Source organism: Homo sapiens, chromosome 16 (genome assembly GCF_000001405.40).
Source record: "Homo sapiens chromosome 16, GRCh38.p14 Primary Assembly".
In the NCBI taxonomy this organism is placed as follows: Eukaryota; Metazoa; Chordata; class Mammalia; order Primates; family Hominidae; genus Homo; species Homo sapiens.
Window position 1 is genome coordinate 57100563 of NC_000016.10, and position 26748 is coordinate 57127310.

The 26748-nt window shown below is 53.2% G+C and overlaps 1 protein-coding gene across 1 annotated transcript in view, besides 3 other annotated features; it reads left to right on the forward strand.

The window, feature by feature from the left end:
• The window catches only part of CPNE2 (copine 2), a 55787-nt gene that overhangs the window by 7980 nt on the left and 21059 nt on the right, over nt 1–26748 (forward strand). The window contains exons 2-11 of the mRNA NM_152727.6: nt 10146–10360; nt 12726–12905; nt 14914–14988; nt 16934–17005; nt 18633–18716; nt 18999–19088; nt 20531–20629; nt 21112–21198; nt 22852–22911; nt 25298–25431. Of these exons, the coding sequence (NP_689940.3) occupies nt 10181–10360; nt 12726–12905; nt 14914–14988; nt 16934–17005; nt 18633–18716; nt 18999–19088; nt 20531–20629; nt 21112–21198; nt 22852–22911; nt 25298–25431 (1061 nt within the window). The 5' untranslated portion in view covers nt 10146–10180. The remainder of the gene's footprint in view (nt 1–10145; nt 10361–12725; nt 12906–14913; nt 14989–16933; nt 17006–18632; nt 18717–18998; nt 19089–20530; nt 20630–21111; nt 21199–22851; nt 22912–25297; nt 25432–26748) is intronic.
• Nucleotides 2565–3520: an enhancer, noted in NCBI's record as "H3K27ac-H3K4me1 hESC enhancer chr16:57137039-57137994 (GRCh37/hg19 assembly coordinates)". NCBI's record gives its function as "activates a minimal SCP1, AML or CMV promoter by ChIP-STARR-seq in naive H9 embryonic stem cells {active_cell/tissue: H9 hESC(naive)}" and the evidence as "EXISTENCE:reporter gene assay evidence [ECO:0000049][PMID:30033119]".
• Nucleotides 4800–5399: an enhancer, noted in NCBI's record as "H3K4me1 hESC enhancer chr16:57139274-57139873 (GRCh37/hg19 assembly coordinates)". NCBI's record gives its function as "activates a minimal SCP1, AML or CMV promoter by ChIP-STARR-seq in naive H9 embryonic stem cells {active_cell/tissue: H9 hESC(naive)}" and the evidence as "EXISTENCE:reporter gene assay evidence [ECO:0000049][PMID:30033119]".
• Nucleotides 12788–12837: an enhancer, noted in NCBI's record as "active region_10882". NCBI's record gives its function as "activates an Ori minimal core promoter by ATAC-STARR-seq in GM12878 lymphoblastoid cells {active_cell/tissue: GM12878}" and the evidence as "EXISTENCE:reporter gene assay evidence [ECO:0000049][PMID:35858748]".

The following is a 26748-nucleotide window of genomic DNA, read 5'->3' on the forward strand; positions in this document are numbered from 1 at the left end:
AGGCCCAATAGGTAGAGTGGTATTGGGCTGGGAGCCAGAGGACCAGAACCATGTGGGTAAGTGATTCAACTTCCTAGCCTTGGTTTACTCACCTGGAGAATGGGAGTGCTGATGATAACACCTCATTTGGGGATGTTGTGAAGCTATAGAATTTCAAGGACCTGGGACAGGCATTATTATTCTCATTTTATTATGGTTATCTCTCCATCAGCATGGCCACACCCACCTTCACCCTTCTCTTGCAGCTGACAGGGTGGGGGTGGGCTCTCTGAGCTCCCACACTTAAGAAGGGCTAGCCCAGAGCTCCTGCCCTAACACCCTGTTTTCCTGCCCCATGACAGATCTCCTAGGAACTAAAGATTGCTATGATGGTTAATTTTATGTGTCAGCTTGGCAAGGCTTTGGTGACCAGTTGTTTGGTCAAATAAAGGTAGTTTTTAGATGCAGTTAACATTAAATCAGTAGACTTTTGAGTCCAGCAGCTTACCCTCCATTATGTGTGGCCCTCATTCAATTGATCAGAGGCCTTCAGGGCAAAGACTAAGGTTTCTCAAAGACGGAATTCAGCCCCAAGACTGCAGCATAGAAACCCTGCCTGGGTTTCCAGCCTTCTGGCTTGCCCTACAGATTTTGGACTTTCCAGCCCCGACAATCGCATGAGCTAATTCTTGAAAATACATTTCTCTCTCTGCATAGATAGATATCCTATTGGTTCTGTTTCTCCAGAAAACCTGGACTAATATGGTTGCCATTTATCTTCCTGGATCTTCTCATCTGGGAAATGGGATGAAGGAGGCAATTTAGACCTGGATGCATTCAAGATACGTTCCAACCCCCCAAAAGTTCAGTAAACTTAGCAGCCATCAGGGCCCGTAGGGAATGGGTGTCTTGTTAGCTGAGGGTTCTGGTTAACAGAGCATTCTCATCCAGACTAGAGGTTGCAAACTCAGAAGTCTACAGAGACCTGGCTGGAAGCTCGGTGTGTGAAGCCAGCAGGGCTTGTATGGAGACCAAGTGTGACACCTGCCTCATTATGCCAAATCCAACTACACTAGAGCCATCCCTGGGGTGTGGTCAGCCATGGGGTGGCCACATTGCAACTTCTGATCTGTAGCCTCGTGTCTCAAAGTGTGGTTCCAGGGGGGCAGCCCCAGCATCAGCTGTAGCTTGTTAGAAACACAGAATTTTAGGCCCCTCCCCAGACCTGCTGGATGACAATCTGTATTTGAACAAGATGCCCCACGTACTCAGCTAACCTGTGATTTGTGTATACTTAGCCCACATCAGAACCACCAGCAGAGCATGTTAAAACACAGGCCTACGGGCACCACTCTAGGCCTTCTGCTAGAGCAGGTCTGGGTGGGCCCAGCGTGCTGCATTTCTTTTTCTTTTTTTTTTTTTTGAGACAGGGTCTCACTCTGTTGCCCAGCCTGGAGTGCAGTGGCATGATCACGGCTCACTGCAGCCTTGACTTCCCGGGCTTAGGTGATTCCCCCCATCTCAGCCTCCCAAGTACCTGGGACTACAGGCACATGCCACCATGCCCAGCTAATTTTTTTTTGCCATTTTTTGTAGAGACAGGGTTTCACTATGTTGCCCAGCTGGGCTTAAATTCCTGAGCTCGAGATCCACCTGCCTCGGCCTCCCAAAGTGCGGGGATAACAGGAGTGAGCCACCGCACCCGCTTGGTGCTGCATTTCTAGCAGGCTCCGGGGAGATGCGTAGGTGACCCATCTGGAAACCACACGTGGTGACAGCTCTGAGCCACCACAGGAGCCTCTGCTATCAGAGATGAGACCCCACTGCCAGGATATGCTGGGTGCAGAAGGACTTGGAGGCCCTGAGGGTCCCAGAAGCCACAGCACCCAGGAGTGGGCCCCACCTCGAAGACCTTGAGGGCTGTGTATCCAAGCCCATAATTCAATCCCTAGTCCCCCGTCACTACCATGGTCTCTCTGGGCTTCCCTATGCTGTGTCCACCAGCCTGGAGGGAGAGCCTAGAGCCGTGTTTCTCAATCAGTTTTTTGTTTTTATTTATTTCTCTTTTTTTTTTTTTTGAGAGAGGGTCTCCCTGTGTTGCCCAGGCTGGAGTGCAGTGGCACGATCTCAGCTCATTGCAACCTCCACTTCCCAGGTTCAAGCAATTCTTTTGCCTCAGCCTCTGAAGTAGCTGGGATTACAGGCACCTACCACCATGCCTGGCTAATTTTTGTATTTTTAGTAGAGATGGGGTTTCACCTTGTTGGCCAGGCTAGTCTTGAGCTCCCGACTTCGGATGATCCGCCCGCCTCAGCCTCCCCAAGTGCTGGGATTACAGGTATGAGCCACCATGCCCGGCCCTCTCAATCAGTTTTAACCTCGCCCCCTTTATGTAAACTGTTAACTTTACACATCCCCCAAATTTTTTATCTACTTTCCCCTCTTCCCCAGACATTAAGAATTGCTGGGGATTCAGACCTCACATAATGGGTTCCTAACTAATGCCTGGTACTGACCGTGACCAGGCAACCACGCCCCTTTCTTTGTTACTGCCACCAGCAAAACAGAATCTATTTTTTTCTTTCTTTTTTTGTTTTGAGAGACAGGATCTCACTCTGTCACCCAGATTCGAGCGCAGTGGCACAATCACAGCTCACTGCAGCCTTGACCTTGCAGGCTCAAGTAATTTTCCTGCCTCAGGCTCCCTAGTAGCTACAGGTGTGTACCACCACACCTGGCTAATTTTTTTATTTTTTATTTTTGTAGAGACAGGATCTCACTGTGTTGCCCCAGGCTGGCCTCAAACTCCTGGCCTCAAGCAGTTCTCCCACCTCAGCCTCCCAAAGTGTTAGGATCATAAGCGTGGGCTGCCACACCTGGCCTGTTTTTCCCTTTTCTACACATCAAGTTGCATGTGCTTTTCTGACAGCACACGGTGCCCTTGCTAGAATTTACGACAGGACATCCCACTGTGGTCCCAGCTCCTCCTCTCCACCAGCCTCTGGAATGGGGGCTGCCTCCCTGGCCACCTCAGGCCTGCCCTTCACCATCCAGCAGCTCTTCTCCCCTTCGGGGTTACCAGGCCTCCTCCTGGGCCATCTGCTTCCCTGTGCCTGCCTCTCTCACTGTCCCCTCCTCTCCGCCCATTTCTAAGTTGGAGGTCCCCCCACCCAGCCGGCCCAGCAGCTCCTCCCCGACAGTGAGCTCCTTTACACTATAGCTGGTTCCCGGGTTCTACATCGCGGTGGGGCCAGGGCTACTTTCTCCTCACAGCCATTAAGAATCACTGATCATAGCAAAAGCTACCTATTGTTCCAAGTGCTTTACCTCACTGAATCCTCACAACACCTAGGAAAGCACTCTTTTTTGGTTGTTGTTTTTTGTTTTTGTTTTGATATGGGGTCTTGCTCTCTCACCCAGGCTGGAGTGCAGTGGTGCAATCTAGGCTCATTGCAACCTCCGCCTCCCAGGTTCAAGCAATTCTCCTGCCTCAGCTTCCCGAGTAGCTGGGATTAAGGGCACACACCACCACGCCCAGCTAATTTTTGTATTTTTAGTAGAGATGGGGTTCCACCATGTTGGCCAGGCTGGTCTTGAACTCCTGACCTCAGGTGATCCCAGCTGCCTCGGCCTCCCAAAGTGCTGGGATCACAGGTGTGAGCCACCACGCCCGGCCGGAAGGCACTCTTGTTCCCATTTTACAGAGGGAGAAACTGAGACATAGGGAGTTGAAGGAACTTGCCAGAGGTCACAGAGCAGTTAAATGGCAGAGCCAAAGTGGGAAGGATGGAGTGATGGCAGCCTTGGCTCTGGGCCTAGTCACCATCCTTCCCTGGCTTAAAAAAACCACTGCCTCTTGTTGGGCCTCAGTTTCCACCCCTGTGAAGTAGGACACAGTCCCTCTCCTGCTGGCCTCTCAGACCCTAGGGTTTGAGAAGCTGCCTGTGATTCTCTCAAGTGATGTGTGCAGGGGGAGGTGGCTATGATTGCTCTGGGGCTGCTGATGATGGAGCCTGCCTGACGAGCCCCCACCTTCCTCATTGATTAGGTGCTCACATATGCAGATACGGCCATAGGTGCTGGGGAAACAGTGATGATGTCCTCCTGAGGGACGGGGCAGACAGACACAGGTACATAGACAGATATGTAAAACGATTGTACATTGCAGTGATCTGTGAAGGAAGCAGCATGGAGCGGAGACAGATTACATCAGCCTGGGTGATCAGGGAAGGCCTCTGAGGATGTGATATTAAGCTGACAAGTAAGACCTTTCCTGTGAAGAAAGGCATTCCTGGAAAAAGGAACAGCAAGTGCTAAGGCCCTGAGGCAGGAGAGAGCCTGACAGCAAAGGGAGGCCAGTGCAGCTGGGCCAAAGGAAGCAAGCGAGGGGGAGGGTGGCAGGAAGTGGGGACAGGTCAGGCAGGGTCCTGTCATCCTGGGCACGATTTGGGGTTTGTGTGACCTGGATGAGGAGGTCACAGGAAGACTTTCAGGTAGAGCCATGGTGGCATCTGACTTCTAGGTTTAAAGACTCCCTCTGGCTCTGGTGTGGAAAAGAGAGTGCAGCTGAGCTTGCATCAGAGATTCCTGTTATGGGTCAGGGTGTGTCTGGGCACGAGATGATGGGAGCCTGGCTGGGCTGACATAGTGGAAGTGGGGAGAGGACGGATGCTGAATGCAGCTTGAAGGTGAAATCAGCAGCACTGGTGGCATATAGGAGGTGAAGATAAAAGGAGATTAAGGACGATGAATTCCTAGTTTTCTGGCTAAAACCGTGATGTTCTAGGCCTGTGGCTCAGCACCAATGTCCAAGCCTGTCCTGCCTAAGGGCAAGATGCCTCCTCGCTGGGGTCAGTGGACCCTGTGAGGGCTGAATCCTATGTGTCCGGTTTTTTTTTTTTTTTTAACTTTTAAGACAGGGTTTTGCTCTATCGCCCAGGTTGGAGTGCAGTGGCACAATCACAGCTCACCGCAGCCCCAAACTCCTGGGCCCAAGCCATTCTTCCACCTCAGCCTCCCAAAGTGCTGAGATTACAGGTGTGAGCCACCACTGGCTCCTGTGTGTTTTATTAACTGCATAGCCCCGGGGTGCTCAGGGAGTATTTGTTGAATGAACCAATGAATCAGTGCCTGGGAATTCCCAAGTCCTGTCCTCTCTTTGCCTCAGTTGACCCATCTGTAAAAGAGACCACTAGTTTCATAAACCCCTCTCCAAGCTCCTTGCCTGGGGGGTCTGGTCACCCCAGAAGGGCTGTGCCCATCTGTGCCAGGAGTCAGGACCATGCTTTAAGCAGGCCCTGGCTCCCCATCCCATCCCCCAGCCTGAAACCTCAAATTACCTATGGGGTGGGGGCTGCCCCAGAGGTGTTTCCATCGTGCCCAGATGCGCATGGCAGGCCCAGCCCTCCCTTAATGACACCTTGCCTGCCTGCCCTCCTGCTGGGGTAGGAGGGGAGGGGGCCCCTGGCCCAGCCTAAGCTGTAGTTTCTTTTTCCATTGCGTCAGGCCTCAGGGTCCAGTACGCCTGGCTGCTGCTGGGCTGGCGCAGAGGGACCCACTCTTCCCCCCGCCTGCCCCAACTCCAGACATCATGTGCTCCCCGTTTCGGGGATCCAGAAGCTTCCAGCCAGAGGGTGAGTTGGAGATGGGAGGACCTGCCCCTGGCTCGGGGAGGAGTTCCCTTCCCACCCACCCATTGCTCACTCTAGCCAGGGCCTGAGCCGATCCAGGTGGAGTTGCAGTGAGCTGGGGGCTCCTGGCCCAGCCACCGCCCCCTGCCCCTGTGACCTGTCCCTCCTGCCCACGCCCTCAGTCAGGCTGGAGGGAGGGAAAGGCAGGAGGCTGGTATAGTAACCAAGGCAAGATAATGGGGCTTGGATGAGGCAGAGGGGCGGGGGTAGGGTAGTGATGGGGACAGAAGGAGGTGACCCCAGAGTGTTCATATGAGCATCTGTCATTGTATTTGTCAGTCTGGGTGCGTATGTGTATGTGTGTATATGTGACCACACGTGTGTAAATGGACAAGGAAGCAGGTGAATCTGGGCGTGTGTGCCTGACACCCTCAGGATGAGAAGAGAAGTGTCTGATTTGGCAGCAGGAGATGGTGGCCCAGGTGGCATCTAACATGTCACAGAGGGGGCCTGTGAAGTGAGGAGGGGGTAGGTGAGCTAGAATCCACCTCGCCAGCAATGGTGGGAGATGCAGGGGTGTGGACTGGGTGACCCAGAGGAACTGGTGAACTTGGATACTCTGGGGCCCATCCTGGGTGTGTGTTCAAATGGGGGAATGCCCTTGGCTTCCCCAGCCCTGATCACAACCTGCCCGCTTAGCCTCAGGCTCCCCTGGCCTGGCTGATGTCCTGGCTGTCCCTGCCTAGGTCCCACAATGTTCAGCAATCTCCCCACCCTGGCAAAAGGCCAAGCATTGGCCTGGGAGACCTGATTCACATCCTGTCTCTGCCTTTTCCTGGCCCTGTAACCTCAAGCAAGTGACTTTTACTCTCTGGGCCTCAGTTTCCTCATCTCTAAAATGGGGGCAATTGTCCTGCAGGCATGGGAAGGCGCTCTCAGCCACACAGCAAGACTTTGGACATCCCTGTCTGCCCCCTTCCCCACCCCACCCCAACTTGGCACAGCTGCCCAGCTGCACACAGTAAGAGTGAACGCAGTTCACCAGCTCCTCCAGTGGAAACTGATTTTTACACAAGAATAAATCCTGCAGGCAAATTGTAGTGCTGTCCTGATGCTCTGAGCTCGTGTGATTATAACAAGGTTCTAGGAACAAAGGCTGGGAGGGAGGGGGCTGAGGACCAGCTTCATCGTTGTCCAGATTTTTCCCCTGCCAGGCATGTCCGGGGAACACTGGATCTGGAGGGGAAGCTGGGAGGTCTCCGCTGCCAGCCCCACTCTCACCCTGGCCTCCTGCAGACCGGGGCTTGCAGGGGACTGCATCTGCCCAGCAAGAGGCTGGCGCTCCAGAGTGCACCGTGGCCTGGGTGAAAGAGAGGAGGAGTGGACCCAGCATAGTGATGGTGGCTCGATCCTTCCTGCCTGGAGGACAGCAGCTGCCTCCTCACTGGTCTCTCTGCTACTTCTCCTTAGCTTGACAACCCCTTCTCCCCACAAGGGGCCAAGTAAGCTTTTAAAAACGCAAATCAGATAATGTCAGTTCTCTGCTTCTAAGACTTCCCATTGCTCTCAGAATGAAACTCAGACACCCTATCAGAGCCCACAGCTCCTGCAGGTCCTGGCCACTCTCCCTGCTCCCTCATTGTGTTCCTGCCAGACTGGACTGTGAGCCCTGCACGGGCTAAGACAGAGCAATCTTTTTTTTTTTTTTTTTTTTTTTGAGACAGTGTCTTGCTCTGTTGCCCAGGCTGGAGTGCAGTGGCGCGATCTCAGCTCACAGCAATCTCCACCTCCTGGGTTCAAGCAATTCTCCTGCCTCAGTCTCCCGAGTAGCTGGGACTACAGGTGCACGCCACCATGCTGGCTAATTTTTGTACTTTTAGTAGAGATGGGGTTTCACCATGTTGGCCAGGCTGGTCTTGAACTCCTGACTTCAAGTGATCCACCTGCCTGGGCCTCCCAAAGTGCTGGGATTACAGGCATGAGCCCACCATGCCCAGCCGAGAGCAGTCTTCTTACTGTAGCATTCCCAGCACTGGGACAGTTCTTGGGACCTAATAGATGCTCAGTACACCCTCTAGAGTGAATGAAAGCCTCAGTTTCCTCCTCTGGAAAATTATATTACTATACTTGCCTCGTAAGACTGAGTGAGGATTAGTGACATTGTTCAGGTGACATGCTCAATTAGTGCTCACAAGCACAGTGACTTGGATTTGTGTTCCCAGAGGGGGCCCACCCACCACCCCCACTTACTTCCCTCCACTGGAGAAGTTCAGGGTCAGTAAACCACTTAGCCTCAGGAGGACAAAGTATTAGGGAGTTGGAACCTGGCCATTGTTGGGTAGGTGTTTAGGGGCTAGGTTCAACCACTGGGATGACAGGGCCAGTGTTAAATGCACACATGCCAGTGGAAATGAGACCTGACCACAGGAGGCTCAAAGGGCTGTGTCCTGATGTCTCATGGGCAGATGGGAAACTGAGGCAGAGAAAGCCAGAGGACTTGTCTGCTGGGCCTGTGATGGGTGTGACCTAGGTCCCCCTCCACCCCTTGAGATGGGTTGCTCCAGTCTCACTCACACCTTGCACTCAAAGGAAAACAGAAGTCCTTCGACTGATCACATGTCAGTAATTAACCTTGACTGGAGGAAGATACTTGAGGCCCAGGGCACAGAATTTTGGGAAATTGTATATGAGTGAAAGGGTAAATTGTGTGTTGAAGATAAGGACCAATGCTGGCAGGATCTGAGGCATATGGAGGGTTTGTCCATTCATTCATTTATACACTCATCCTTTTTTCATTCAGCAAGTATATACTGGATGCTTCCTGTGCACCAGTCATTGTGTATGAGCTAGAGATACAGGGTGAAGGTGATAGACAATGAACAAGGGTGAATTTTTAATGTTACTGTTACAGGAAAGGGGTCCCGATCCAGACCCCAAGAGAGGGTTCTTGGATCTTGTGCAAGAAGAAATTCAGGACGAGTCCATAAAGTGAAAGCAAATTTATTAAGAAAGTAAAGGAATAGCCAGGCGCGGTGGCTCATGCCTGTAATCCCAGCACATTTGGGAGACCCAGGTGGGTGGATCACCTGAGGTCGGGAGTTTGAGACCAGCCTGGTCAATGTGGTGAAACCTCGTCTCTACTAAAAATACAAAAATTACCCTTGCGTGGTTGTGGGTGCCTGTAGTCCCAGTTACTCGGGCGGCTGAGGCAGAAGAATTGCTTGAACCCAGGAGGTGGAGGTTGCAGTGAGCTGACATCATGCCACTGCACTTCAGCCTGGGTGACAGAGCCAGACTCTGCCTCAAAAAAAAAAAAAAAAGAAAGTAAAGGAATAAAAGAATGGCTACTCCATAGACAGAGTAGCCCCAAGGGCTGCTGGTTGCCCATGTTTATGGTTATTTCTTGATGATATACTAAACAAGTGGCAGATTATTCATGCCTCCCCTTTTTAGACCATATAGGGTCACTTCCTGATGTTGCCATGGCATTTGTAAACTGTCATGGCCCTGGTGGAAGTGTAGCAGTGAGGACGACCAGAGGTCACTCTCATGGCCGTCTTGGTTTTGGTGCTGGCTTCTTTACTGCAGCCTGTTTTATCAGCAAGGTCTTTATGCCCTGTATCTTGTGCTGACCTCCTATCTCATCCTGTGACCCAGAATGCCTAACCATCTAGGAATGCAGCCCAGTAGGTTTCAGCCTTATTTTACCCAGTTCCTATTCAAGATGGAGTTGCTCTGGTTTAAACGCCTCTGACGTTACCAGAAGTGAGCTTCCTAGTGGCCAAAGTAGGAAGGAGAGAAGCCTGAGCAGTTGTCAGCTCCACTGTGGCCACAAGATGCCAACATGCTAGTTGCTCAGGAGAAGCCCAGGTTTTCCTGGCACAATTAGTATCTGAGACACCCATGTCCACTGTGATTTGTTGCTCATGTGACGGAGCAACACACAAGGAGCTGTGCATCCTTACAGGTGAAGACTGACCACAGCAGAGAAAAACTTCAAAGACAAATTTAACACAGCTACCAGAGACAGAGACTCTTTTTTCTTTTCTTTTCTTTTTTTTTTTTTTTTTTGAGATGGTATCATTCTGTCGCCTAGGCTGGAGTGCAGAGACGTGCAATCACGGCTCACTGCAACCTTGAACTACTGGCCTCAAGCAATCCTCCTGCCTCAGCCTCCCAAGTAGCTGGGACCACAGGCACGCACCACCATGTCTAGCTGATTTTTAAATATTTTTTGCAGAGACAGGATCCTCCTTGTTGCCAGGCTGGTCTTGAACTCCGGGCTTCCAGGCACTTGACCTCCCCAAGTGCTGAGATTATAGGCGTGAGCCACTGCGCTCAGCTGAGACTCCCTTTTCATGCATTTCCTTGCATTCTTCTTTCTTCAAACCTTTGCCTATGTTATTTGACAACCCGCCTCAATTTGCCTTCCATCTCTCCACTCACCTCTTAAAGGCCAGGTGGTAATGCCTCCCTATGGTGGGGCAGCATAGCAGGTGTCTGTCCACTCTCTGACCCTCACTTCTGTTCCCCTAGACTGCCAGGAACTCCTGCCACCGCCACCGGCTCCCATGGCCCACATACCCAGTGGGGGTGCCCCAGCAGCGGGGGCAGCCCCCATGGGCCCCCAGTATTGCGTGTGCAAGGTGGAGCTGTCAGTGAGTGGCCAGAACCTACTGGACCGGGATGTTACCTCCAAGTCCGACCCCTTCTGTGTCCTCTTTACAGAGAACAATGGCAGATGGATCGAGGTGAGGCTCTTCCGTGTGTCTGCGGTGGGTAAGGGGGTGGCTAGGCTGCTGGGGAGGGGGAGTCTCCCAGGACTGGGATCCAGGATGTCTGATGGAAGTAGTTGGAGTGTGGGCTGGTGGCAGGGGATTACTTGGTAAATTGTTACTCTTAAAATGAAATTTTATTTTAAATATATTTAAAATATTACTTTGTGTTTAAATTATTACAATTAAAATCTATAGATTTATATTTATATGATTTATAGTGATTATTTGATATCTTTTTTTTTTTTTTGAGACGGAATCTCTCTGTCCCCCAGGCTGGAGTGCAGTGGTGAGATCTCAGCTCACTGCAACCTCTGCCTCCCAGGCTCAAGCAATTCTCCTGCCTCAGCCTCCCGATTAGCTGGGGCTACAGGTGTGCACCCCACGCCCAGCTAATTTTTGTATTTTTAGTAGAGACATGGGTTTTCGCCATGTTGGCGAGGCTGGTCCTGAACTCCTGACCTCAAGCAATCCACCTGCCTCCACTTCCCAAAGTGCTGGGATTACAGGCATGAACCACCACGCCCCATCTTGTTATAAATTGTTATATATAGTTAACATTTTATAGTTTTATGAAATGTTTGCTTCCGCTTTTAAATAACCTTTCTAAATGAACACATGGTCAGTAAGAAACAGAGAAACAGTGAGCTCAGGCTTTGGGAGCTGGTCCAAGGCCCAGTGATGCTACTCCCTGCTGTGTGGCCTTAAGCAAGTAGCTGTCCCTTTCTGAACCTGTCTCCTCATCTGTGAAATTATTATATATTTTTTTTCTGCTGACTCCCTTGGAAGGCCCCAGATCTGGGGATATTAATGGTGCCCCAGGCAAGGACTTCTGAGCTGGAAGACTTTGGCTTGAAGGTTGGAAAGAGTTGCAGCTTGAGGAAGGATGTTGAGAAACCTAAGCTGTTCAGACCTTCAGGTTTTAAAACTTGCTTTGCTTTTGCAAAAGGAAACTATTGGAGTAAATGTAGAGAATCCAGATAAACCTAAAGGAGAAAATCAAAATTGTTAGGAACCCACCTGTCATAGAGAACCACTGTTAACCGTTTGGTATCCAGCCTTCCAGATGGCTTTATATGCATGTATATTTCCCAAAATATGTGTGTATTTTTTAATGGATATTTAACTAGGCCACGGTGGGAGTTCACCTGAACATACTGTGGTTTACAAAGAGTTCCCATGGATGTTGGCTCCTTCTTGTGATGCCAAGAAAACGGTGTGGGATTGTTGACCCACTTTACAGAGGGGGAAACAGGGGCCCCAGAGTGGGTAGGGACTTTTTTGTGTCACCCAGCTTGTTGATGGTACAACTGTAAGTGGGAGGTGGGACATGGGGCCAGCTGAGGACTCCTGGGGGAGCCACAAGCCTGTGAGAGGCATGTCTGGGGGCACAGTTCCCTTCCACCAGGTCTCTAGAACCCTTGAGTGCCCCGAGGGAGTGGTATCCCCCTGACTCATAGCACAATCCCCCACCCTCCCTGACAACCTCTGCCCCCACCCAGGCCAGCCACCCTGGCTAAAAATAGCCCAGGGCCAAGACCTCCTCCGTCCCTGCTGCTCCAGCCCTTGGAAATGGACTGGGTGGGAGGAAAAGTCAACACAGCCTGGGCCCCAAAATAGACTGTCACCCAGACTCCGCGGTTTGGGGCCTCAGCATCCAGAGGCCAGGAGGCGGGTTTCCTGTCCCAGTGCCACCACTGACCCACAGTACCAGGCCCTGTCCTCAGCCAGGCTTTGGTATCCACAGTAGGTGGGGTGTTGGGCTGCACAGTGTCAGGATTCTATACAAGATACAAATATCTCCCCGCGCTCCCGTGGGGAGTCCCTGACCCCACCTCCCCCGAAGAATCCTCCCTGCTTTCTGTTTCCTCTCTCAGTTTCCATGTAAAACATGGTTTGAAAAAGGGTTTTCCCAAAATAAAAAGTGAAAACCGCAAGTAGTCAAATCCTTTCCCTTTACAGAGGTGGAAACGGAGGCCCAGATGGGGAAAGGGCCTTGTCCTCCATCTCTTACCCAGGCAGGGGCAGGGCCTGAGCTCTTACCCTGGCACCTGGGTAGGGAGCCAGGGCCAAAGAATTAAGAGTGTGGGTAGCAGAGTCAGACCTCGGTTTCAAATCTCGGCCCTGCTCCACAAGCTGTCCAGCCCTGGGGAAGTCACTTAACCTCTCTGTGCTTCAGTGTCCTTGTCTGTGAGCTGGGGATAGTGAGTCACTGACGATGACCACAAGAGCCTGGCACAGAGTAGGCATTGTACAAGTTAGCAGAATGATTTCCAGCAGCCTGCGAGGTCTTGGACCAGCTGCCTTGACTCTGACTTCCATTTTCCTGCCCCTCTGCTAGTACGACAGGACAGAAACCGCGATCAACAACCTCAACCCCGCCTTCTCCAAGAAGTTCGTGCTTGACTACCACTTCGAGGAGGTACAGAAGCTCAAGTTCGCGCTCTTTGACCAGGACAAGTCCAGTATGCGGCTGGACGAGCATGACTTCCTGGGCCAGTTCTCCTGCAGCCTGGGCACGGTGAGCTGGGCCCTCCTGGGTGGGAGCAGGGGCCCAAAGACCGGGCAACCCCTCAAAAAGTCTCTTCTCGTGCTGTCTTTCCCTAGCCCCATCTTCCTGGGTGGGTCCCAAAGTGCAGATGCAGAGTGGGGAACAGTCTTGGCGGGTTCAAGGCCGGGCTGAAGAGCTCCCATCTGGAGAGGCAGCCAAACAGAATGCCTCTCAGGATCTGGGGCCCCAGGTGGCCAGGGATTCCGATTGTTAGATATAATCAGGTGTGGTCTTGACCTCTGGGGGTAGGAGCATCTGACCAGCAACCAAGACACCCACAGTAGTCCCGCTTTGTGGCAGACTCACTGTGTGACCTTGAGAAACTTCCTTTCCCTCTCTGGGCCACACTTCCCCATCCATCTCAGTCCTTGGTAAGCTCCTGGAGGCCGGGAGCAAGCGGGGCTAGGCGCCCCTGACACAAGTCTCAATCATTCCTTATGGCTGTATGCCCTTGGATAAGCTCCCATCCCCCTCTGGGCCTCAGTTTCCCCACATTTTCCTTGGGGATTATGATGACTGCTCTGCCCAGCCTACATGGTTGATAAGGGAATGAAATGGAAAATGCTTTGAGGGGTCCTAGTGGAGACTGAAATGCCCGGGGCCTTCCAGGAGATGGTGACCATGCAGAAAGCAAGGGACTGCCATGGTTGTGATGTCTACTTTTTGCGTAAGAAGCAGGGTACAGTAGTCAGGGTCCCTACCCTGTGGTATAACTGAGAAGAGAGCTTAAGGGCTTGTGGACAGGGCAGGGAACTGACAAGGGATGGGGAAACCAGTCCAGGGCTTGGCCCCAGAGGAAAGCTGACCACCTTCACCTGGAAGGAAGGCAGGGTGAGGAAGTGGCATTGCCAGGGCCTGGTAAGACCTGTGGCCCATAGAGGGAGGCCTCTGGACTGCAACTGAGGCAGAAGACAGAGTAATGGAGAAGCTCCCATCAAACGGGGGCCCCCACCTCTCACGCCACCTGCTCTCCCGTCTCCTGCCCATCCCCCCAACTGGCTGAACCTCTGAAAGCCAGAGGGCAAAAGAGCCAGGTGGCACAGTCCCCAGGGCACAGAGCAGGTGTGTGGATCTGCGGAGAAGAACTAGCCCCACAGGAGCAGGACTAGATCATACTGATGTGTGCTCCCCGCTGCACAGGACGACGCTCGCACTGCACCCAGGAAGCACGAACCATGCTGGCCCCTGAGTGCAGTGGGCAGACACAGGTGGGAGGGTGACTTTGCAATGTGGCCCACTTTTCCTCTCTATGTTGTTTTGATTATTGCACCCTGTGTAAGTGTATTACCTATTGAAACCAATAAAAATAGAAAGAATTGGCCGGGCTCTATAGCTCATGCCTGTAATCCCAGCACTTTGGGAGGCCAAGGCGGGAAGATCGCTTGAGCCTGGAGTTCGAGACCAGCCTGAGCAACATAATGAGCCCTTGTCTCTACCAAAAAAAAAAAAAAAAAAAAAAAAAAGCCAGGCGTGGTGATGCATGCCTGTAGTCCCAGCTACCCAGGAGGCTGAGGTGGGAGGATCGCTTGAGCCCAGGAGGTTGAGGCTGCAGTGAGCCGTGATCGAGACCTGTCTCAAAAGGAAAATACATAGAATCTGAGCTTGACTCTGTCCATCAGAGATCATATCCTGAGGCAGGTGGGGTCTGTGGAATGCCTCTGGAGGAGGGAGTTAGGGGGCTAACCTCCCACAGTTGTCTCCAAAATGCCTTTTCCTAGGGGCAAACCAGGCAGTGGGAGTCCAACTGCAGCGGGAGACCTCAGGCGGGTCTCTTACCCTCTCTGGGCCTCAGGCTCCTCACTGCCCAGATTGGCTGCTGTCCACCTCCCAGGGTGATGATGATGCTCAGGCGGGTCACCAGCCAGCCAGGGCGGGGTGCAGCCCTGCCAAGAGGATTTTTCCGGTGCCGGTGGAGGATTTTTCCTTCCCGGGCTTCCCCCGCTTCCTCACTGAGCGCCCTTTCTCCTCTCTCCCCTAGATCGTCTCCAGCAAGAAGATCACTAGGCCTCTGCTGCTGCTGAATGACAAGCCTGCGGGGAAGGGCTTGATTACGGTACCAGTCCCCTCCCGGCTCTCCGCACCCCCTCCATCCCCACCCCACACCCTCCCCCATCAATGGGCCGCTTCCCTGGCAGATAATCACCAGCTTTGTTTGGAGTAAAAAGGCCCAACTTACAACTTAGCAACAGGTCTCTTAGCAACCGGCTGCTGGCTCCACAAATGATGCAGTGGGGGCTGACAAGCTGGGGAGGCCTCCAGAGCCCTGCCAGCAGCCCCCTCCCTGCACTGGCCCCTGCCTGCCCTCCCCTGGGGGTCGTTCAGAAGTGCCCTGCCCATCAGTGCCCTGCTTGTGGCTGCGACGCGCAATGATTCCTGCAATGCGCAACGACTCCCGCGATGCGCAGTAATTCCGCTGGAGATGCACAGGCCCTTCGCCCGGATGAGCTCCTTGGTCTTCAAAGACTCCCAGAAGCCAGGGCCACCCCTGAGACCCAGAGAGGAAGTTCCCTGGGGCAGCTGAGCTAGCGAGATCGTCCCCTGGTTGTCTGGCTGGCTTCTGAGCCCACGCGATGCCTGGGAAGCCGGCCAGGCTGGAGGGAGAAGCCATGCCTTTGTGTGTTCCCGTGTGTTACTCCCCTGTCCTGGAACCTCACATGGCTCCCCACTGCCTGACCAACCCTTCGGTTCAAGGCTGTGAAGGACCCCTCAGACCCTGCCTGGCTCTCCTGCCTTGGTGTTTTTTTAATCTCCTTCACTTAAATGCCCTGCGTTCAAAGCAAACTGAATTCTTAGCATATCCTGAACATACCTCAGGCTCTTACTCTGTTCCTGCCCCCACGGATCACCACCTCCCAAACAACCTCCCCCAACCTCTTGGTTCCTAACTGGCCCATCTAAATGCCTTCCCAGGCCAGGTGCATGGCTTGCACCTGTAGCACTACTCCTTGGAAGGCTAAGGCAGGAGGATCCCTTAAGGCCAGGAGTTTGAGGCTGCAGTGGGTTATGATCATGCTACTGCCCTCCAGCCTGGGCAAGAGAGTGAAACCCCATCTCTGAATGAATGAATGAATGAATGCCTTCACAAGGCAGCTTCCACCTAGAAGCCATCTCAGACAGACCCCACTCACCCGGGTATGCCATCACCCCAGCATTTCTGGCAGTTCCACTCTAGGCCTCCATCCCGTCCCCTGGGAAATGGGGGTGATAATAGGACCTACCCTATAGGGTTGTTGAGCAAGTCCCAGTGGGAGGACGGCAGGGGAGAACGGGCAACATGGCTGGCCTCTGTCTGTGGGTCCAGAGGGCCAGATGCCTTGCGCTGGGTGAGGCCATCCTAGAGGCAGGAGAGGAGAGGAGGCCCCAGCGAAAGGCCCCAGCCCACTTGTGTTGCTGTGGGCAGCAGGGGAGGGAGAGAGGCCTACAGGGGGCCTCAGCAGTCTCGAAGTCGCCCAGCTAGGCCATCACTGGCTGGGCTGGGGTCAGGGAACCATAGCTGATGGGGAATGCATGGAGGACAGATGACCAATGTGAACTGATGGGACTCAGTTTCTCCCCTGGGCCTCAGTTTCCCTAGCTGTACAATGAAGTGGCTGTGATGCTGACACCTTGGTGTTCTGAGGAAGCTGTGCTCTCTGTGGCTGCCGCAGGGGCAGGAGAAGGCCGGTCATGCTGCTCTCTGGGCCAGAACCTCTCCCCGGGACTCAAGACCACCCCCGGTGTCTGGTCCTTGCTTCATCTCTGCCCACCACCCCATGGGCCCTGCGGATTTGCGTAGATCCGCTTCCTGACTCCTCATCTCCAGATGGGTTATTTTCCGCATTTTCCAGAAGATGGAAACTGAGGTGTGGGGAAGACAAGAGATTTGTCCAAGGTCACCTGGAACTGCCCTTCCCTTCCCCCTCCTAGCCCTGGAGGATTGCTCCTGGGGCACCCTGTGCCATCCTGCCTGGCAGGAGGCTGGGGGAGTCTGAGGAGCCCCTCATGTCCCGGCCTTACAGATCGCTGCCCAGGAGCTGTCCGACAACCGCGTCATCACACTAAGCCTGGCGGGCAGGAGGCTGGACAAGAAGGTAAGGCGGGCAGAGGAAGGGCTCCCATTGGGAACAGTAGCCCCCACCAGCCCCAGGGCTGTGTGGCCTCATTCCGGGACCTCGGGCCACCACCTCCATCACATTCTAGGGACTGGTCCAGCACGGGGCCCTCCTGGCCACTCCAGATTAGGACTCCTTCACCTCTGAGGTAGTGAGTGTTCCATCCCTTAGGGGTATTCAAAACACACCTGGAAACCTGCTCATTGGGGCATCCCCATCTCACTTAGTGTAAGTACATTCCAAGGTCCTTACCCAATGGGGCCCTGCCTGATGTGTCCCCAGTGCCCCGACTCTCCGACCTCACCCCTCCTCCCCGCACCTCACTCTGCTTCAGCCAAACCTAGCCCCTTGTCCGTGAATTAAACGAGGCACTCTCCTCCCTCAGGAGCTTTGCACTTGCTGTTCCCTCTGCCTGGGATGCTCTCTTCCTTGAATTTTCTCACGGCACCCTCTCACCTCCATCAAGCCTTTGCTCCCACATCACCTCCTCAACGAGGCCTTCCCTGAAATTGGTCTTCAATTTCCCACCCCCTCCTTCTCGTCTCCTTAACACTATTACTGTCTAGCATACTTTCTTTCTTTTTTTTTTTTTTTTGAGACAGAGTCCTGCTCTGTTGCCCAGGCTGGAGTACAGTGGTGTCATCTCAGCTCACTGCAAGCTCCGCCTCCTGAGTTCATGCCATTCTCCTGCCTCAGCCTCCCGAGTAGCTGGGACTACAGGCGCCTGCCACCACGCCCAGCTAATTTTTTTTTTTTTTGTACTTTTAGTAGAGACGGGGTTTCACTATGATAGCCAGGATGGTCTCGATCTCCTGACCTTGTGATCCGCCTACCTCGGCCTCCCAAAGTGCTGGGATTACAGGCTTGAGCCACCATGCCTGGCCCATACCTTCTTTACTTATTTTCTGTCTCCCTAACTTGAATATAACCTCTTTAAAGTAACAGTTGCCAGGTGCAGCGGCTCACACCTGTAATCCCAGCTACTTGGGAAGCTGAAGCAGGAGGATCACTTGAGGCCAGGATTTTGAGACCAGCCTGGGCAATATAGTGAGACCCCATAGATGGATGGATGGATGGATGGATGGATGGATGGATGGATGGATAGATAGATAGATAGATAGAGTGAGTCACATACAAAAAGTGGCACTTTTTAAACCTTAAATGATTTTTTAAAGGCCATGATATTCCTTATGTCATGTGCAGGATAGTTTCAGTTTTTCACATTCCCAATAAAATAAACTGAAATGACACCCTGCTGGGAGCCTCACCCTACCTTGGGAATAGTCACCCTCTTGAAGTCCTGGCCCATCTAAAATGCCGGAGTTCTGACTCACACAGGCTCTGAGTCTTGGAGGGTCTCTGAGCACAAGCTCTGACAGCCTCAGGGTGGGGGGTTTCTGCTGGGGGACCTGGTTGATCCCAGGGGGCTGCAGCTGCCCTGGGCCTCTTGCTGAGCCTTGCAGAGTCTGAGGGGAGGGGGCCAGGCTGGCTCTGCCCACAGCTCCTATCCTGACACCCGGCTGGGGAGGCAGCAGGGCCACACCCCCATCTGCCTGAACCTAGCAGGGCTGTACCTCTCTCACCCGCATCCTCCCACTTCTCCCAGGACCTCTTTGGGAAGTCAGACCCCTTTCTGGAGTTTTATAAGCCAGGAGACGATGGCAAGTGGATGCTGGTCCACAGGACTGAGGTGGGTACGTGGGGGCCCAGGGATCTCTAAGCAGTGGGCCTGCAGTCCAGCCCCTCCACAGCTCTGAAAAAGGGAGGTGCGGTCACAGCCGCTCAGTGTGCAGGAAAACCCACAGTGGCACCTGAGGGATATGCTTCCTCCCAGCCACAGGGACGCTCACTTCTGTCTCTGGAAGTGTGGCTGTGGGTCTGCATTTTGTCACCCTGTCCCCATTGGGCTGACCCAACCCCAGAGCACTGCTGCCCAGGGCCTGAGCTCACAGCATCCCTCTCTGTCCCACAGGTGATCAAGTACACACTGGACCCTGTGTGGAAGCCATTCACAGTGCCCTTGGTGTCCCTGTGTGATGGGGACATGGAGAAGCCCATCCAGGTGAGGGGGCTCTGGGGACCCTGCTCCCCACCTTGCCAGCTCCAGCCTCCCAGTCTACCTGAGGCTCCCGGGGATGCCTTGTAGAAAGCTCTTTCTCATACAAGTGGAACGAACCCCCATCTTTGGAGGAGGGAGGACTGGAGACTGGGTCCTCATCCTGGATCTATCTGATGCCCTGAAGTACCCGGGCAGGGCCCCCACCTTTGAGCCCCTCTCTAAAACTCTCTTGCCCTCCCCAGAGGGCTGCAGAGCTGCTAGCTAGGGAAACACCTTGGAAATTATCAAATTTGGCATGATGAGGACAGTGATTACCAGTCTCTCTAAAAGCTCTCAGTCCTCTGGCTGAGTGCAGTGTCTCATGCCTGTAATCCCAGCACTTTGGGAGGCTGAGGCAGGTGGGTCACTGGAGGTCAGGAGTTCAAGACCAGCCTGGCCAACATGGGAAAACCCCATCTCTACTAAAAATACAAAAATTAGCCGAGCATGGCGGTGCACGCCTGTAGTCCCAGCTACTCAGGAGCCTGAGGCAGGAGAATCACTTGAATGTGGGAGGCGGAGGTTGCAGAGCCCAGATTGAGCCACTGCACTCCAGCATGGGTAACAGAGCAAGATTCTGTCTCAAAAAAAAAAAAAAAAGTTATAGGCCGGGCGCGGTGGCTCATGCCTGTAATCCCAGCACTTTGGGAGGCCAAGGTGGGTGGATCACGATGTCAGGAGATTGAGACCACCCTGGCCTCTCACGTGAGGCCTCTCACCCACCCTCTCACGGTCTTTAGTAGAGACCGTCTCAAAAAAAAAAAAAAATTATAAAATAAAATCAAATAAATAAAAAATAAAAGCTCTTGGTCCCCAGGGGCTGGGTCTGAGAGCAGATGGGACTGGGGAGACAGCTAGGTCAGGACAGAGATTCCCAAGTAGGATACCAGGAATCTTAGGTTCTAGTACTGGGTCTGCTACTGCTGCTGTGAGACTTTGGGCAGGTACATCTCTTTCAGGGCCTCAGTTTACCCATCAGTGGGATGGGAACAATAATCCCTGCCTTCCTCCTAGGAGGGCCATAGCAGCTCAGACAGCATATAAAGCTGTGATTTCTGTGCTCATCTCAGAAAAAAATATGTCTAGAGAGGGCCCCAGGCCATAAGCTGGGTGGGTCACAACCCGAGGTGGAGGGGGAGCCATTTGCCAGGTGTATAAGGAGTGGAGTTGCCTGCACTAGAGGGTACAGCCTCCATCAGTGGGGCAGACACACTTTCTCCTTTTCCCAGCAATCACAGAAGTCTTCCTGCAGGAGGCAGTTCAGGAGCTATCCAGGCCAGCTAGGCAGATGCTGAGGAGAGGCACTACCCAAACAGAAGACAGAGGGTTTGCTTGGGGAGTTGAGAGGGGCTGGAGAGCACCTCTTGGGGGACAGCTCTGGGGTGACCGTGCTGAACCCACCCCAGGTCATGTGCTACGACTATGACAATGACGGGGGCCATGACTTCATCGGCGAGTTCCAGACCTCAGTGTCACAGATGTGTGAGGCTCGAGACAGCGTCCCGGTGAGATGGGCACGTGTACTGTAACCCCAAGACCTCAGCAGGGCTGGGGGAAGGGGCACCGGGTCTTGGGTCAGGCAGCCTGGGGCTGAGATCCCCCTTCTGGCTGCATGACCTTGAGCAAGGCATTCAATCTAAGACTCAGTTTCTCCATCTGTCAATGGGGGCAGAGGATTTGGGTGGGGATTGAATGAGATGATGCAGGCGAAGTGCCCAGCATATAGTGAGCAGTCAGGAGCTATCCATTTAAGTCATTCCGTGATGTTGGGCCCTCAGCTGGACAGTTTGGGGGTGCGTTATCTGGGGAGGAGGGAGGCAGATGCTGATCCTGCTACCATTTTTGGGTGTGGACATCCTGGGAGGCTCCCTGGAGGAAGCATGCTGCCCCCATTGTCAAGCCTGTGGAAGGGATTCTAGGGCCAAGGAGGAGGATCTGTTTCCAAAGAAGCCCCGAGGTGAGTGTCTCTTTCTTTTGCGTTGCCCAGCTGGAGTTCGAGTGCATCAACCCCAAGAAGCAGAGGAAGAAGAAGAACTATAAAAACTCGGGCATCATCATCCTGCGATCCTGCAAGGTGAACCAGCGTGGGCAAGCACGAGCCAGGGGCCAGGTTTCAGGCCACACAGAAGGGACAGACAGAGCACTGGATCTGGAGCCAGCGAGGCCTGTGTTCAAATCCCGGCTCTGCCACATCCTGGCCCTATGGCCTTCTGAGCTTCACCTCACCAGGCCTCAGTCTCCTCATCTGTGGAATGGAGATATTAACGAGGCAGAGCATGTCCAGGGTTACTCTTCTCTCACATTCCTGTGTGGAGGCCAGGGAAGGCACGAGCTGACCTTCCAGGGCCTGTCCTGGTGGGAGAATTGTCATTGCGAGTTGCTGCCGCCCACGGTGGGCATGCAAGGGGCAGAGGACATTGGGTGGGGACACCCTGTCCTCTCTGGCATCAGCGTCACTGTGACTCCCATGGTACAGCCGGGGCCACTGAGGCCCAGAAAGGCAATGAAGTTCATGTCAGCAGTGGCCAGGCTGTGGGTGGGGGCCAGAAGACCTGGTGGGCAAATAACTGCTGGATCTGGCAGAACATTAAGGAAGGCAGCCTGGGGCAGGAGAGCAAGAGACCTGGGCTCAGGGCCTGACAGCTCAGGAGTCTGGCCGCTGCTCTCCACCAGCAGGTGGATCCCAGACTCCCACCTTATTTGGAGCCTCGTCTGGCTAGGGTTTACACGAACATTCAGTGGTGTCACGACAAAAAAGCACTCCGTTAAAGGTCAAGATGTCAGGTTGCAGCCTTGTGATGGATGGTCCTTGTTTCTGAAGTTTCCATCATTCACATCACTTTTCACAATTTCTGGCACCTGCCTTACTTATTTTTTTGAATCAGTCTTTCTTCCCTGTATTATTGTTTTTTGTTTTTGTTTTTGAGACAGAGTCTCACTGTGTTGCCCAGGCTGGAGTGCAGTGGCGTGATCTCAGCTCACTGCAACCTCCGCCTTCCAGGTTCAAGGGATTCTCCTGCCTCAGCCTCCCAAATAGCTGGGATTACAGGTGCATGCCACTACGCCTGGCTAATTTTTGTGTTTTTAGTAGAGATGGGGTTTCATTATGTCGACCAGGCTGGTCTTGAACTCCTGACCTCAAGTGATTTGCCTGCCTTGGCCTCCCAAACTGCTAGGATTACAGGAATGAGCCACTATACCTGGCCTGTTTCTTTTCTCTTTTTTTTTTTTTTTAACTTAAATACATTTATTTAGAAAGAGATTATTAGAACTCTACCAAAATTAAAAGATCTGCCTTCTTTGCCAAAAAGAGACAAAGACCATCAAAACAACTTCTAGAGGAAGGCCTTGAGCTGGAGGCCTGCTCTTTCTCTTTGTTAAAAAGGTAGATTAATAAGGGCCAGGAGAAGGTAAGTACCTAACAGTGACAAATTGAGACACTCTGTGTCAGGTAACTGACACTGGGCCCTGGCACCCTGCCTGGAACCAGCATGTGTCTGTGTATCTGTGGGGTGTGGGGGTCTCTGTGAGTCCCCCACCCATTAGGAACCATTGCACTGAAGGCTTTGTTATAGAGAGATTTGGGTTTTGTTGTAATTAGATCAGGCCCATCAGCTTTTTTTGACCTCCTTGTCCCTACTGAGGTTGCAGGACATAGAGCAACAACTCCCCCATGGGGAGTGTGACCAAGTCAAGGGGACCCACTGACTCATCCGCTTTCTTCCAGATAAACCGAGACTACTCCTTCCTTGACTACATCCTGGGAGGCTGCCAGCTCATGTTCACCGTAAGGCTCTCCCCGCTGGCTCCCTCTGCACCCCCATCCCAGTGAGGGTCCTCCCTGAAGACTTGGGCCACTAGTGCAGCCAGAGGGACTTAGGGTAGACTTCAGGAAGGACTTCCCTGGGGCAAAGAGTGTGTGCGGCCTAGTGAGGAGGGCATAAGTGGGCTGTCTGGTCCTGCTGGGTGTGCCTGAGTTGGGGCTTAACTACAGGTCAGAGCACAGCTGCACAGCTTTCAGTCTGGTGGCTACACTCCTTCTGCGGGTGGAGGAAAACAAATTCCTCCTCACTGGCCACAAGGCCTTCAGCGATCCCTGCCTCCTTCATCTGCAGCCTCCTTCCTCCTTGCTCACTGGGCTCTAACCACACTCTTCCTCTGTTTGCCCAACATGCCAAGCTTTGCTTCATGTTAGAACTTTGCATTTGCTGTTCCTTCTGCATTTGTTGTTCCCTCTGCCTGAAACACTTCCCCAGAACCTTTGCATGGCTGCCTACCTGCCATTTTTCAGGCCTGAGGAGGTAACGGAGGTCACCTTCCAGGGAGCCCTCCCTCCCTCAATGCCTTGCTGCTCCTCTGTCATATCTTCCTATTTTCTTTCTTTTCTTTTCTTTTCTTTTCTTTTTTTTTTTTGAGACAGCGTCTCATTCTGTCACGTGGTCTAGAGTGCAGTGGCACGATCTCAGATCACTGCAGCCTCCACCTTCAGCTCTCAGTTGATCCTCCCACCTCAGCTTCCTGAGTAGCTGGGATTACAGGTGCATGCCATCATGCCCAGCTAATTTTTGCATTTTCTGTAGAGATGGGGTTTTGCTATGTTGCCCAGGCTGGTCTCAAACTCCTGGGCTCAAGCGATCTGCCCACCTTGGCCTCTCAAAGTGCTAGGATTACAGGCATGAGTCACTGGGCCTGGCCCTCACTATTTTCCTATTTTCTGGGCACTTGCCGCCCCGAGATTCATATGCATTTGTCGCTTCTCCCTGATCGTCGCACCCACTGGAATGTGAGTGCTTTTAAGTGTGGGCACTTTGTTTATTTTGCTTCCACTCCAACCCCAGCATATCACACAGTAACTGGCACATAGCAGGTGCTCCATCATTTCTCGTTGGAAGAATGAACTGCCACCTTGCCTGTGGCCTGGAGTCTTTGCCCCACAGACTCTGTGCCACTCATCCTGGCTTTGCTTCCTCACCCCAAGGGAGCCTCAGGCCCAGAAGGGAGGAAGCTGCTGGGGTGCCACGCTCTGCCCACCTCCCCATGTTGTCTCACCGTTCCCCATCACCACCCCTAGATCCTAATGGGAAATGGAGGGCATCACAGGATGCCATGGAGTCAGAGGATTGGCCTTGCTGACTTCTGACCCTGCTGCCCACCACTGCCCCCTCCCCTGCACAGAGGCCAGGCCCTCCTGTTCCTCCTGCACGAGTTTGTTCATTCAGCGAACTCACACTGACTGCCTCCTTTGTGCCGGGCTCTAGGCTGTGTCCCTGCAGCGGTCCCTCAAGGACTAAGACATGCTGCCCCTGACCTGGGGGAGTGACCCTCTAGCCATGTGAGGATTTGGATGGGTGGCCCCTTCTCTCCTACCCCACAGCAACTGAGTTCCCATGTAGCCAAATCTTCCCCGGGGTCCTACTTCTAACCCTCCCCTGCTGGGCAGGGGTTGTTCTTGCCTACCCCTCTGTGCCCTTTCTCCAGGGATTGGGCTGGGATTCTCTGGGGCTGAGAGAGCAGGTAGAGCCCTAGTCCCTGCCTGCCCATCAGCCCCGAGTCCCTGTTAATAAGCACCTGCCTTGTCTGCTGTTCCCAGCCCTGGGCCAGGCTTCTCCAGAGTACGTGCTGCGGTGAGCTCCCAGCTGATCGGGGAGACGGGCACTGCTCTACCAGGCAACCCCAGGTCCCAGGCCCCTTGGTGGTCTGAGGGATAATGGGGAGATGGCTTGGGTTGGGGGTGAGGTTATCTGGGAAGGTTGCAGTGGAGCAGTGGCATCTGAGTTGGGCCTGGAAGATGGAGCAAAGTTAGACGGGAAGAAACGATAGCCTGGCTCTGCATGCAGAGCGAAGCTTATGAATAAATGCCTGCATATGGGAACAGATGAATGTGTGGATAGGGATAGTAAGGAGAAAAAGGAATCTGGGACTGTACGTTAGTCTCTTATGTCATCACATCTAGGCAGTGGACTTTATGCTTGGGCAATAGAGAGCCACAGATGGCATTAGAGCAGAGGAGTGATACAATCAGAGCATTTCTAGGTTTCAGACCATCTTATTGTGGGGAGGGCTGGGAGATGAGTGGGCTTCCCATGTCCCATCTACCTCTCCTATTCCCTGGGAGTGGGATAGGGTGCTGGGGTCTCTGGCCCCACTGGGTGGCCTTTTTCTCCACTCTGCAGGTTGGAATAGACTTTACAGCCTCCAACGGGAATCCCCTCGACCCTTCCTCTTTGCACTATATCAACCCTATGGGCACCAACGAATATCTGTCGGCCATCTGGGCTGTTGGGCAGATCATTCAGGACTACGACAGGTAAGGTTGGAGAGGGGCTCTGAAGGTCAGCTAGGGTTCCATCCAACCTGGGAAGCTCAGTGTATCAAAGCTAGAAGGGACCCAGAGATCATCAAATCTAGGAATGGACAGCAAATGGCATAGGTGCAGTTATTACCCATTCCCATACCCTTGGCAGACATTGCTAATCAATTGCTGAACTCTAACCTGCCAAGCGCAGATTCAAACTGGGATCGTTTTCTACACAGTACACCAAGTAGCCAGTAAGAAAATGAATCATGATGGAAGATTAAACTCATTCATTATTGCTGCATCCTCTCCTTTTAGAGCTGGGGAATGGGAGGCCTGGGGTGGGAGTGGAAAATTTGTTCCAGGTCCCGCAGATCATGGGACCAGAGGCCAGCCATTCTGGTTCCTGGGCCTGGCGCCTAGTTCCCTAATGGTCTCGCTTCTATTGGGAACTTCTGAGGAGCAGCTAGCATGCACGGACCCTCCTCCCATGACCTTGCTTCCTGGGGACCTTTGGGTCGGGCTGGGTACCACGGAAAGTCAGTGAAGGGAAGCTGTGTGAAAGTGTGGCAGGTGTGGCTACCAACAGGATATGACATCACTGTCACAGATGGTGCTGATTGGGAGCTCCAGGTCAGAGGATGGAATGACCAGGAGGCTGACACATTGGGAACAGGGGAGGAAGAAGCAGGTGCCAGAGATTTGGCAGGAAAGACAGCAGGCTCAGGAGCCCTGTGTGGACTTGGCCTCCTAGAGAGGGGCAGCCAGGGATCTGTACAACATGCAGAGCAAGGGAGGTGGAAGTCATCATCAGCATGGTTGGGTGGAGTCCCAGGTGTCCAGCTGCCCATTCAGCCCATCACCGAGCTGTCTAATGGGCATTAAGACTTAGCATGGCCCCAGTGAGCTCTAGATGCCTGGCTGAGCCACCATCACTTTGTGCCCAGATCATTTCATTAGCTTCCTCATCAGTCTCCCTGCTTCTGCCCTGGCCCCCAGCTGTGTGTCCCCTCCACGGCAGCCAAAGGGATCCTTAGTAGATGTCTGTTGAGTGCACATACAAATGAAATGTGGTCCCTGTCCTCAGGGAGTTCTCACTTAAAGAGGAAGATAAGGAAGAAATCGTCGGAGTTCTGAGAGACCAGTTTACATGTGAAGCAGGAGCTATGGGAGCACAAAAAGAGAGGCATTTTAGGGTATCAGGGAAATCTACAGAGCGAAGGGGCCATTTTGATTGGGCCTTAGAGGATGAGTAGGAGTTTGCTAGAGGAAACAGATTAGGGAGAGATGTTACAGATGGGGGCACAACAGCATTGAAGTTGGAATGTG